Here is a 13,472-nt window from a genome sequence, read left to right as displayed (position 1 = left end):
GTGTGATTGACTGGCAGACTTATAGGCTTAAAGTGAGCTAATAGTAAACCCTAAGGAACCTGTGTTATGTGTCTGGATCTAGGGTCAGTGGTGGTCTGAGAGAGTTGCTATGTGTTTAAAAGCATTCAGATTCACATTAAAAAAAGAATACTGTTCTGCAGTTTGGCACTTCCTCAAAATATTAAATATAGAGTTACCGTGTGACCCAGCAGTCCTACTCCTAGGTATATTCCCAAGAGAAATGAAGACATGTGTCCACACAGAAACTTGTACACAAATGCTTGTAGCAACATTATTCATGAAAGCCAAACTGTGGATACGACCCAAATGTCCATCGACTAATGAATGGATAAATAAAATATGCCTGTGCCATGGAATGTTATTTGGCCATGAAAAGAATGAAATACTGGCACATGCTGCAACGTGGATGAACCTGAACACATCTTGCTAAGTGGAAGAAACCAGTCACAAAAGGCACGTAGGGTGTGCTTTCATTTATATGAAATGTCCAGGCTAGGCAAATCTGTAGACACAAAAAGTAGATTCGTGGTTGCCAGAGAGTTGGGTGGAGGAGTAGGCGGGTAGAATGGGCAGAGTAGGGAGTGACTAGAATGGATACACGGTTTCTTTTGGGGGTGATGAAAATGTTCTAAAAGTGTGTGGTGATGGTTACACAACTCTGTGAATATACTAAAAATCATTGAATTGTATAAATAGGTGAATTTTATGGTAGATGAATTATATCTCAGTAAGCTGTTAAAAAATTTACTGCTTTAGCCAAGTAAAACTCCTCCACAGGCCCACCAGCCTCCAGGGTATAATCACTGGTTTAGAACGTTCCAGTGAGCAGCTTAGTAGGTAAAAACTGACACAATTGCAGAGCAATCATGAGAATCACTCATTGTCCCCACCAGACTTGAGATGCAGTTGAGGAGCTCGTATTTTAGTTCAAGAAACAAATAGGGCGCGTAGCTTTCCTCCTCCTGTTTGCTTTTCTACCATATACAGTCTGCCATTCCTGCCTCCTTGGTGTTTTAAACCTTAGCAGTGACTTTCTCCAAGAAATCTTTCCGTATTGCTGATCGCTGCCTGCTTTTGCTGATATGTTTATGCCTTCTTGGAGTGTACAGAGAACACATCTCAAAGTACACTTCTGCTTCTTGAAGTATCGTGTCCCTGGCTCATAGGGTGACATTTGTTCTGATTTATTGGCCTTTCCCCTTTTTCTGACCTGGCATGTCTGCGAGTTCACCTGTCCTTCATCGTTCAGAGGTTGTTGTGGTTGTCCAGCGTAGGGAACGGGGGTATGTTTCAGCTGACGTACAGAGCTTCGAGAATGTTCACGGGGAGAGGAAGGCAGGCTGTGCAGATTTGCTCTAATTTTAGTAACTCACCCACCTAGAAGTTTCTGCAGCCTCTGGGGTCAGGGAGGGAGCTGGGGCCTGAGGCAGTGCCATGGGGAGGGCTGGCAGCCACTGGCTGAGGACCTCTCTGTGTGTTAGGTTCGTGTGAGGTTAGCTGAGGCAGTGCCCTTGTCTCTACTTGACACAGGTGGCTGTGCTTGCTGGGGGCCAAGCTCAGGGTCTCTTCCTTTTACTTAGTTTCTCTCTGGCAACATATGAGCTGGTTACACTGTAGGGGTGCACTCTCTATATGGACCCACAACCCAGTGTTTTCCTTGGAGGCTTTAGTAGGACTGAGGTTTTAACCCTGCTGATTGCCACCAGACCCAGTCACCACAGCTTCAGGGGTACTTCTCAGTCCCTTGCAAAAGGGCATGTAGATAGCACTTTTCCCTAGTTTCCAACAGTAAACAATTATCCCCATTAATAATGCACTTATAGTTATCAGTGAGAATATGGAAGAGGAATGAAGTTAATTCATGTTCTCATCTTGCCATTTTGAAGCTAAAGACAGACTAATAATTTTCATCTTTCTACCTGTATTAAGGTGGATTTAACTATGTGTATTTGAAAAATACCAAAATAATGGTACCTTAAACAAAAAATAAGGTGATTTTTCCCACAAAAAGTTTGGAGATGAGTCATCTAGGCTCCTTCTAGCTCTCTGCTCCACCCCCACTAGTGTATGTGGCTTGTATCCTCAAAGTCCAATATGGCTACTGGAGCTCCAGCCATCACATCCACATTCCAGACAGCAGGATGGAAGGAGACTGCAAAAGGACACATTCCCTCCTTTTTAAAGAGACTTCCCCAAAGTCCCACACAGTCTTTATTATATCTCATTTACCAAAAGTTTATCACCTGACAATACTTAACTGCAAAAGAAACTAAGAAATATGTTTTAACTGTGTGGAAATGTGCCCAGCTAAAAATTGGGATTCTGTTGCTTAAAAAAAATAGGGCATGAATATTGAAAGGATACTGGGATATTTCTGCCTTATTCCTGCTACCCCTTCACAAGTAGTCGTAGGAGAGGAATTCCGTCTCTGGTGCTCTCCACCTAGAATAAGCCCTGAGGGTTTGGCATCCCCCAGGGTTGACGGAGGTCAGAATTGGGAAGGTCAGTGCAGATGGAGAGGCAGAAGATTGATTGATTGATGCTGTCATTCATTCATTCAGCAAACGCATACTAAGTACTTGAGACCCTGCCCCTGCCAGACCCTCTGCCAGAGCCTGGTGCTGGGAAATGCAGATGCCCAGAATACTCTGGAGCCCAGAGAAGGGGGTCTATGAAATGAGGGCCAGAGAAGACCTGGGCTGAGAGCTAAGCTGAACTTTGGAGAAAGAGGGGGAACGGACCTGGAAGGGCATCTGGGAAGAGGGAGCAGGACTCATTGAGAGAGCCTGTGGTACTCTGGCTTGGCTGGGACTGGGCCAAGGCCAGTCCATCAGGAGGAGGGAATGGAGCTTGACCAGTCAGGGCCTGGACAATGTGGACTTGCTTCTGTACACCATGGGCTTGAGGTAGATGCAGGCTGGAAGGTCTGTTACCTCTGGTGTGGAGGTGGACAGGGGTTGGAAGGGCAGAAGGGGAAGAATAACTGGGAGGGAAAGACCAGTTAGGAGGTGGAGGGCCCCTCACCAAGAGGGCAGGTGCTGAGGATGTCAGAATCGCTGAGGACTGGCCATGGTGCCACGCTGGATGTGGGGTCCCTGCTAGGGGTTGGGATGGTGGGGAAAGACTCGTGTCCAGCAGGGCGGGGGGCAGGTGGTTTCCATTCAGACTGCATCACCTATCCATTCAGCCCCTCAGCACTCCGTGAGCTTTTATAAAACACCCAGGAGATGCCAGGAGCTTACTGTTGCCAGAGAGGTGGGGGTGCCTGCATCTCAGAGGGGGCTAAGGACTGGTTAAGGGAACAGACTCTTCCCCAGTGACTCAAACCTGGCTGAAGGTTTTTGTTTGTTTTTAATCCAGAAAAGTAAAATGACTGTTAACAGAGAAAAGGAGAGGTGGGGGCGGGGAAAATTTCAGAAAGAAAATCTCTATCCCTACATAAATCAAATGTTTTAAAGAAAAAAAATGTTAATCTTGTTAGGTATGAGGGAATATAAAATAAAGCCTTCTTATAAAGTGAAAGACTAAGGATTTTCAAGAAGTTATGCAAGTTTTATTTTAAATGACAGTAGCATATCTCTAAAGTGTAATAGTATCTGGTAGTTTGTAAATGTAGATCATAAAGCTGTTTGTAAACTCTTTGTAGATCCCGCATCCACCCTGTAATTTATGTGGTGGGATTGTTTGTGATTTTTCAGTGGGGAAACTGAGGTAAGGCACCTGCCCAGGTCCCCTGGCAGTGAGTGGGAATTGGCACCCTATCTGTCTCCAGGGCAGCACAGCCTCCTCCTGCTTAGCTCTGGCTGAAGACGTGGGTGTGGGCAGCCAGTTCTTTGTCCCATCTCCCAGATAAGCGCTGTTGTTGGAGTCTGATTTGTGAAGCTGTAGCATTGTCTGCAATAGCAGCTCCCCAGGGGGAAGGGCCCGGACTGGGGACCCAATCCCTTAATGCTTAGGGAAGGTCAAGTCGTGTTAACAAGGGGGCTACTGCCCTCAGGAAAAGCCCATGAGGGAGGCCGGGGAATCTGCGGCTGAAGGGTGATGTGGCATTGTGGAGAACGGCGAGGATGCTGGAGCCCTCTGCCAGGGTTCAAAGCCAGGCCCTGCCACTTACTGGCCATGTTACATTGAATGCTAAAAAAAAAAAAAAAAAAGCTCTCTGTGCCTCAGTTTCCCTGTCTCCAAAGTGGGGATAGTGATCTACCCCGCCAATGTCATGAGGGTTAAATGACTCCGTCTATCTGAAGTCCTCAGAAGGTGCTTTGCACACATACTGCTAACTGCCCTCCTCTGGTCTGATGGTGAGACTGGCTTCCCAGTAGACCTGGATTGGATCCTGCCAGGTGTGGACCCCCATGCCAGAGGCCATTGTTGTCCGACATGCAAGGTGATGGGTGTGCTTGCTTCATTGGAGCCACTTCTGACCTTCCCTCCACCTTGCTGAAGAGGAACAGGAGCCAGTGGAGCAGAGGGCCTGATTTCCTGTCCACGGGCCAGGCAGGGTTGACAGAGCCATTAGGATCTCACCCATAGAAACCAAGGCTTGCAGTTTTGAGATGCCCTTATTCTGAGCTCTGCTCTCCTTCTCCATGGCCCTCTCTCCTTTATTGCTTCTGCTTATTTCCTCACTCTCTTTCCACAGTCTGTCTCTGTCTCGTGCGTGGTGAGGGAGATGAGGTGAGTACTGCCATACGTTTGTACAGTATCCGATATTGTTAAAAGTACAGCAACATTGCAGTTACCTTTCTAATAGCGGGCCTTGGATTTCTCCTATTCTAGCCACCCAGATGACTATCCCAGATTTTTCTTACCTGGCTCATTTTAAGGGTCTTCCTAAAATGCATCTGTTCAGAAAATCCAAGAGCCAGATCTGAGGAGAGTTCATTTTTTAAAAATGTTTTCAACGAAACTCTAAACATAAAGTCAGGACTTAGAAGTAGTAAATCATCATCAGTTTACTACTAATAAGCACTCATAGCTCATAATCATGAGATTGCTGTTGTGACTGGGAAGAAACTGTGGCATCCAGCAGATGGTGGCAAATCCCCTCTCTCTCCCCAGGTGGACATGGAAGCGTTCCTCACACTGACTGACGGTGACTTGAAGGAGCTGGGAATTAAGACAGATGGGTCCAGGCAGCAGATTCTGGCAGCGATTTCTGAACTGAACGCAGGCAAGGTACCGTTCTCTGTTTCTTGTATTTCCGTGTTTCAGACATCTGAGAGCTTCACCAGGGTCCTGGGATCTTGGGAAGGTCTTACTTCCTCTCTCTGACAGTGAGCAAGCACTCACTACCTCCCAGCATGGCCTTTTCCCTTTTCGGACTTCCCCCGTAAGGTTTCTCCCCAGATAGAGCTGAAATCTTCGCTCAGGTAACCAATGCACAGGGCTAGGTGTGGCCCTCGGGAGCACTGTGAAAGCAGAGCCTTCGAGCCTTTGGCTCAAACAGGCCCTGGGATCAGACTGGCCTGGGTTTGAATCCCAGCTCCTTCACTTATTCACTGTGTGGGGTGAGGCAAACACCTCTCTGAGCCTCACTGTCCCTGTCTGTAGGGTGGGGATGATGGTGGTGTGTCAAGGACTAAAATGCTCAGCAGAGCTCCTGGCACACAGAGAGCCGTCAGTCACTATTGTCGGCTTCCCACATTTTTGTCTCATGTTAAATTTCTCATCAGCTTTAAAGCTAAAAATATCAGTGCCCTCACCCCGCGCCCACCCAAAGGCACACACACACCAAAAACAAAAAAGAACCACAAAAATAAAAAAGACAAATCCCCACTCACTTTGCAAGCTTCGTTGTAGTTGCTATTGGGCTATTGGAACTCCTTTGCTGTCTGCTTTTTTTTCTTAATAAAGGGTGGCTTTTTTTTTTTCCAGCAACAATGCGCAGTACCTGTTTACCTGCTGCTTTTTCACACTTGGCCTAACAGCTTTCCACTTGTTGAACAGTAGTCTCATGCCTGGAATTTTGCTATTATGAATATTGCCATAATGGACATCTCTGCCTTTTTCCTCTTTTTTTTCTTTTTTTGTTGCTGTTCCTTGGGCTGTGTTCCACGATATGTGGAGATATCAGAGAGCATGGCCACTTTTATGGTTGTTTCTGTATGTTGCTGGACTATGCACAGAAATATTGAACAGACACATACCACCAGCAGCAAATAAATATTTATGTAGTACTTTATCATCTACAAATCACTGCATACGTTTCCTCATCAGTCCTGTAGACAGCCCAAGGAGGCCGATGTCCTTACACTTACCTTGTCTGGCTGGTGAGGGTGCACAGTCTAGGGAGGGGAGCATGGTGCCCAGGTCACGCGGTGGTGGGCAGTGGAGGGAGACGCTAAACCGAGGCCTCCTGGCCTCTTTCTCTTCACCTCTCTGCAGCACTGTGCTGTGCAGAGGCGGCTCCTCTCAGCCCTGCCAGGATTGGAGGTGGTGGTTTTTGTTGTCACTGTCGTCATTCTTATTACCTGCCTGAAGGCTATAAGGTGATCCTTCAAAGGGATGCCCTTAGCATTGCCTTGGGCATCCCAAGGCCAAGTAGTTTTCCTCCAGTCTTTACTAGTTCCTTCTCCTCTGTAAATGGCTGGATTCTAAACATTTCTTGGTTGTTGCGTGGGCCTAGACCACCTCACTTTACATATAGGGAAGCCCAGGCTCAGAGTTGGGCAGTGATGCCTGACTTCCGGACCAGCACCGCTTCTGCTCTGCTGTTAGATGTCAAGGGGGAGGGCAGGGGGGTAAGGCAGGTATGGAGGTTGTCAGAGGCGGGCAGATCTCGGCTGTCAGGAAGGGCATCGTCCAGGAAACTGAAGCCTGAGGGTGGCTCACAGAAGGTGAATCAACCAAAACAGTCTCTAAAGACTGGGGCATTGATTTATTCATGAAGAAGAGCCTTTATGTCTCAGGCACCATGCGGGTATTGACCATTCAGAATCACTCTGTGCCAAGCATTGTGCTCTGAGCATGTCACACATTATAGTCATTCATTTAATCCTTACGAAAGCCACAGAAGTCAGTTTCAGTTTGTAGATGAGGAAACCAAGGCTCAGAGAAGTTGAGGAATTCACCCAGGGTCTCCAACTGCCTCAGTGTAGCTAACCCACAGCACATAAAGGAGAGGCAGGTGGTGCTGTGAGAGCTGGCTTAGAATCGGGGCTGAAAAGACATCCCTGAGGAAGTGGCAAGGCAGCTGAGACCTGAAGCAAGAGTGGAAACCACTGGTTAGAGGGGTAGTAGAAAAGTGCGGAGCAGGCAGAGGGAAGCACATGTGCAAAGGCCCTGTAGTGAGGTGTGCAGTGTGTTTAAAGAACTAAAGGAATGGTTGGAGTGCAGAGCAAGAGACATGACATGTGGGGAGGCCCAAGGGACAGAGCAAGGCCCCCAGGGTGGTAAAGGGTGACTCAGTCAAGTAAGGGAAAGGGCTTTGGGGAGGGGAGGTGGGTGAGTGATGGTGGGGCGGGGGAGGGCTGTGGCCCAGGCGTTAGAGGACCCTTTCTCCTCTTCGCCTCCAGAGGCCAGATGTGTGAGCCAAGGAGAGGATGGAGTGAGTAAAATCCAAGCTTAAGCCAGTTAAGGAAGAAGGACGGAAAAGGTTCTGGAGGCAGGGCCAGTGAGAGGACAGGCCAGGAGCTGATGCCACCAGATGGCAACTGCTAATGCTTCCAGAACCTCCCCTGTGCCCTCTGTGGCTACGGCCTCCTTGGCCCAGGATCACAAAAAGCAGACAGACTGGGCTAGTGTGCAAACCTTAGGAAACTTAACTGACATCATCAGAGTGAATGACATGACATCTTGAGCCCATCCCGATGGAGGACATTGTTCTTAAAGTTTATATAAACTAGAGCCTTTTTTCAGTTGCCTCTCAAATTCATCTCCCCCTCCCCCCCACCCATTCCCTCTTCTGCGACAGTCTGCATCCTATACTAAACAGGCCCCATCAGGTGAAGCAGAAGGGACAGCTGTTAGTGGTCCTGCTTAGGGGCCCAGCTCACCAGCTCACAACCAAGAGGCCCAGGTGCCTGTGACATGCCAGGCCAAAGGCACCACTCAATCCCACCTGTGTCCCCCCAACAGGCAGCATCCACCCTGCAAAGTCAGGCAGTTCCACACAGTAATAGGTGCAAGGGGAAGGAGCCGATCTGAACCACTTCCCTGGAGAAAGATCCTGTTATTCAAGAGTAAATAATACCAGATAAAGTCCTCTGGAAGTGAAGACCATGTATCATCATGAGTCATAGAGAAAAGGCATGTTTAGGAGAAGTGTAATAGTACAAAAGCAAATTTAACTTCTGCTGCATTATTTTAAGTTAGCACTGCAACTGCGTGCTGGTTCTTAGATGTGCAAAGAGCTCCTCAGGCCAAAGGTGGCTTCCAAGAGTCGGTTCACTGCCCTTACAGCCTTCAGATGCTCTGGGCCTTGGCTATTCTAGACTGGACTTGCCTGACCTTGACATCAAGGGTTCCTGCCTCTTTAATTTTGCTATAGGGCATGAACTTCTCTTTGTAACATTCATACTTTTTCTTTTGCAACGCAAGCTTGGCCAACCAAGAGAGAGTACCCATTGTGGCTCTAGTGCTCTGTACACATTAGAGACCCCAGACCAGGACACATGAGACGGGGAGGCCCAGCTTTCCTTGCCCGCAGTGTCTTTCTAGCTGTGGTCCACAGCACGCTGGTGGGTTTTAGAATCCATTTAATGGGGCATGAGCAGCACGTTTTAGAAAATAGAATAGAAAATAGCAACATGCTTTTGCAGATAGAAGGGACAAGATGTTTCAGTTACATGTGTTTACATGAAAACAGGGTGTGATATAAAATGCTTTTTTTACACAATCAATAAGATTGAGCATTTTGGCCTAAAATTTTTTAAGTGAGTATTAACTAAAAACCTGGCTCATAATGTAATAACATCAGCAAGTCTTATTAAGCATAGTAATATTAGCAAAACGTTGTGGACCCTCAGCCTGCAAGCCACGTCACTTCCAGATGAACCCACCCCAGTATTGGAATTGTAATGTGTGCTCGAGTCTGCTCATTAGTTTGTTAGTTTCGGATGAGTTATATATTGGAGGTTTACCAGAAATGAGGAGTTAGTTGGTCCTAAGTCATTGTTTCTTTTTGTTGCCCTTTTTTTTGTGATTGTCAATGCAGTGCATATTGATTTTATTAAATTTACACAGTACCAAAATGGTGAAAAGAATTTTTTTAAGAAATCACAATCCAATCACTCAGAGGCCAACATTGTTCACCTTTGGGCAGATTACTCTGCAGTGTTTTGTGTCCTTTTTTTTGTTTTTTCTTTTTTAAAGAGATGGGGTCTTCCTGTGTTGCCCAGGCTGGCCTCAAACTCCTGGCCTCAAAGGATCTTCCCACCTCAGCCTCTTGAGTAGCTTGGATTATAAGCACCCATCACCACACCCTTAAATTTTCGTAAAATATAACTGAGATAAATTTGGGTCCGTATTTATATCCTGCTTTCTTTAATATGCAATATATGCAGCTATTCATGTCATTAAGAACTCTTTTTCATATAAATTTGCATAGATGTGCTAAAATTAATTTTTAAAAAATTCCTACCTGTTGGTTATGTAGATTTTCAAACTTTGTATAAATGGTGCTGCAATGGACAGCTTTGTGTCTAAGGCCTTCTAATCCTCACAGTAGATGTCTGAAAGTGGAATTACTGAGTCAAAGAGTCAGAATCAAGGTATATGTACATCTGAATAACTTTCCGGAAAGAGCCAGTGAACAGTTCCACTAGCTGTGAGTGTGTGAGAGTTTGTTATTCGTTTCACTGCAGCTTTGCCAGTATTACTATCAGTTTGTTTTTTAATCTTTATTAATTTGATAGGCAAAAAAAGGTACCTTGTTTTAATTTGCATTTTTTGAGATGCTAGATAGTTGAACCTTTTTTCTACATTTAATAGCTGTTTTTTTTCCTTTTGAGAATTATCAGGCAGGTCCTTTGAAACTCAGGGGTTTTTAAAGGGCAATTATTGTTATCATCTTCAATCAGTTGTGGATGCAGGAAACAATTATGGTTTTAATCATCTACAGCTCCCTCCTAAGGTTAGCAGGCAGCGAGGGCCGGAACCCTGTCTTGCCCTGACCTCATTTCTCAGGAAATTAAGGCTAAGATGGTGTTTAATAATAAAATTGCTGTCAACCCTTCCATTTACATTTTAGCCCTCTGCAGTTTGCACAGTGCCACCCCATTCATTATCTCAGGGTGAGCTTCAGTGCAGCGCTGGCAGGTAACATCCCCATTTGACAGATACTTAGCGGAAAAGGGGCGGGCCTGCGATCCTGGCGCTAATCAGTGGTAGAGTGGGGATTCCAGATCCTCTGACTTGGCATCCAATGCTCTGTCATACCCTCCAGCCTTTGGATTGTGTTGATGGAATCTGGAGGGCATTTTCCCAGCTTATTTAAAATTGTTTGGATTGGTTGGGATGAAGGGAGAATCTTACTGTCCTCTCGAGTCTAGGAGGCCTCATCAGCACAAGAGGTGTCTGTGTGGGGGTCTGGAGAGGGGCCCCTCTGGGCTATGGGGAGTCCATGAAATGAAAGAAAGTTTGAAGTCTGGGCTCATTCAGTGGATTTTTCCCCCTTTTCACTCTTAGTAGAGAACAGTCTGCCAGAGATGATACATTTTTAATTTACTTTACATTTTGACCATATTTATTAATTTTTAAAAATATGTTTAATCCCACTTTGGGAGGCCGAGGCGGGCGGATCACGAGGTCAGGAGATCGAGACCATCCTGGCTAACATGGTGAAACCCCGTCTCTACTAAAAATACAAAAAATTAGCCGGGTGAGGTGGCGGGCGCCTGTAGTCCCAGCTACTCGGGAGGCTGAGGCAGGAGAATGGCGTGAACCCCAGGGGGCGGAGCCTGCAGTGAGCCGAGATTGCGCCACTGCACTCCAGCCTGGGCGACAGCAAGACTCCGTCTCAAAAAAAAAAAAAAAATGTTTAATCCACTGCTGCCCTCTGAGGATAGGATCTGTCTGCCTCCAGCTACCCACACAGGGTCTGTTGGGGAAATGTGCTAAAATTAATTTTTAAAAAATTCCTACCTGTTGGTTATATAGATTTTCAAACTTTGTATAAATGGTGCTGCAATGGACAGCTTTGTGTCTGAGGCCTTCTAATCATCTCACAGCCGTCACCTGAGGGACTGTTATCATCCCTCTTTTGTAGATGAGGAAACCAAGGCCCAGGGAGATTAAGTATCTTGCTCAGGGTGACCCAGCTAGCAAATAGGAGAAATGGGCTCCAAACCTAGACTGTGACAGGGTCTCGCTCTGTTGCCCAGGCTGGAGTTGACCTCCTGGGCTCAAGCGATCCTCCCACCTCAGTCTCCAAGTAGCTGGGACTACAGGTGCATGCCACATGCCCAGCCCAGTTTCTATTCGTTGTTGTTGTTGTTGTCGTTGTTGTTGTTTTTAATTTTTTATTTCCATAGATTATTGGGGAACAGGTGGTGTTTAGTTACATGAGTAAGTTCTTTCGCAGTGGTTTGTGAGATTTTAGTGCACCCATTACCCAAGCAGTATACACTGCCCCCTATATGTAGTCTTTTGTCCCTCACCCCCTTCCCATCCTTTCCCCCTCTGTCCCCCAAAGTCCACTGTGTCATTCTTAATGCCTTTGCATCCTCCTAGCTTAGCTCCCACTTACAAGTGAGAACATATTATTTTTGGTTACTTCAGTCCTGAGTTACTTCACTTAGAATAATAGTCTCCTTCACTTAGAATAATAGTCTCCAATCTCATCCAGGTCACTGCGAATACCATTAATTCATCCCTCTTTATGGCTGCGTAGTATTCCATCATATATATATCACAGTTTTCTTTATCCACTCGATGATTGGTGGGCATTTGGGTTGGTTCCATGACTTTGCAGTTGTGAATTGTGCTGCTATAGGCATGTGTGTGCAAGTATCTTTTTCATATAATGGCTTCTTTTCCTCTGGGTAGATACCCAGTGGTGGGATTGCTGGATCAAATGGTAGTTCTACTTTTAGTTCTATAAGGAATCTCCACACTGTTTTCCATAGTGGTGGTACTAGTTTATATTCCCACCAGCAATGTAGAAATGTTCCCTTTTCACCACCTCCATTCCAGCATCTACTGTTTTTTTTTTTATTTTATTTTTTTGTTATGGCCATTCTTGCAGGAGTAAGGTGGTACCACATTGTGGTTTTGATTTACATTTCCCTGATCATTAATGATGTTGAGCATTTTTTCATATGTTTGCTGGCCATTTGTATATCTTCTTTTGAAAATTGTCTATTCATGTCCTTAGCCCACTTTTTGATGGGATTGTTTGTTTTTTTCTTGTTGATTTGGTTGAGTTCATTGTAGATTCTGGATATTAGTCCTTTGTCAGATGTATAGATTGTGAAGATTTTTTTTCCCACTCTGTGGGTTTTCTGTTTACTCTGCTGACTGTTCCTTTTGCCATGCAAAAGCTCTTTAGTTTAAATAAGTCTCAGCTATTTACCTTTGTTTTTATGCATTGCTTTTGGGTTCTTGGTCATGAAATCCTTGTCTAAGCCAGTGTATAGAAGGGTTTTTCCAATGTTACCTTCTAGAATTTTTATAGTTTCAGGTCTTAGATTTAAATCTTTAATCCATCTTGAGTTGATTTTTGAATAAGCTGAGAGTTGAGGATCTAATTTCATTCTCCTACATGTGGCTAGCCAGTTATCCCAGCACCATTGGTTGAAAAGGGTGTCCTTTCCCCACTTTATGTTTTTGTTTGCTTTGTCAAAGGTCAGTTGGCTGTAAGTATTTGGGTTTATTTCTGGGTTCTCTATTCTGTTCCGTTGGTCTATGTGCCTATTTTTTATACCAGTACCATGCTGTTTTGGTGACTATGGCCTTATAGTATAGTTTGAAATCAGGTAACGTGATGCCTCCACATTTGTTCTTTTTGCTTATTCTTGCTTTGGCTACGCGGGCTCTTTTTCAGTTCCATATGAATTTTAGAATTGTTTTTTCTAATTTTGTGGAGAATGATGGTGATATTTTTATGGGAATTGCATTGAATTTGTAGATTGCTTTTGACAATATGGGCATTTTCACAATATTGATTCTCTCCATCCATGAGCATGGGATGTGTTTCCACTTGTTTGTGTCATCTATGATTTATTTCAGCAGTGTTTTCTAGTTTTCCTTGTAGAGGTCTTTCACCTCCTTGGTTAGGTATATTCCTAAGTATTTTTTTTTTTTATTTTTTTGCAGCTATTATAGAAGTGGTTGAGTTCTTGATTCGATTCTCAGCTTGGTCACTGTTGTTGTATAGAAGAGCTACTGATTTGTGTACGTTAATCTTGTATCCAGAAACTTTGCTGAATTCTTTTATCAGTTCTAGGAGCTTTCTGGAGCTGTCTTTAGGGTTTTCTAGGTAAACGATCATGTCATCAGCAAACAGCGAC

General features: G+C 45.1%; 1 protein-coding gene across 1 annotated transcript in view; it reads left to right on the top strand.

Moving 5' to 3' along the window:
- Positions 1-13,472, top strand: part of ANKS6 (ankyrin repeat and sterile alpha motif domain containing 6) — a 64,547-nt gene that overhangs the window by 45,798 nt on the left and 5,277 nt on the right. Inside the window, exon 14 of the mRNA NM_173551.5 lies at positions 5,083-5,199. Coding sequence (NP_775822.3) covers positions 5,083-5,199 — 117 coding nt within the window. The remainder of the gene's footprint in view (positions 1-5,082; positions 5,200-13,472) is intronic.

Source organism: Homo sapiens, chromosome 9 (genome assembly GCF_000001405.40).
Source record: "Homo sapiens chromosome 9, GRCh38.p14 Primary Assembly".
In the NCBI taxonomy this organism is placed as follows: domain Eukaryota; kingdom Metazoa; phylum Chordata; class Mammalia; order Primates; family Hominidae; genus Homo; species Homo sapiens.
This window is presented reverse-complemented; position numbering and strand designations above follow the sequence as displayed.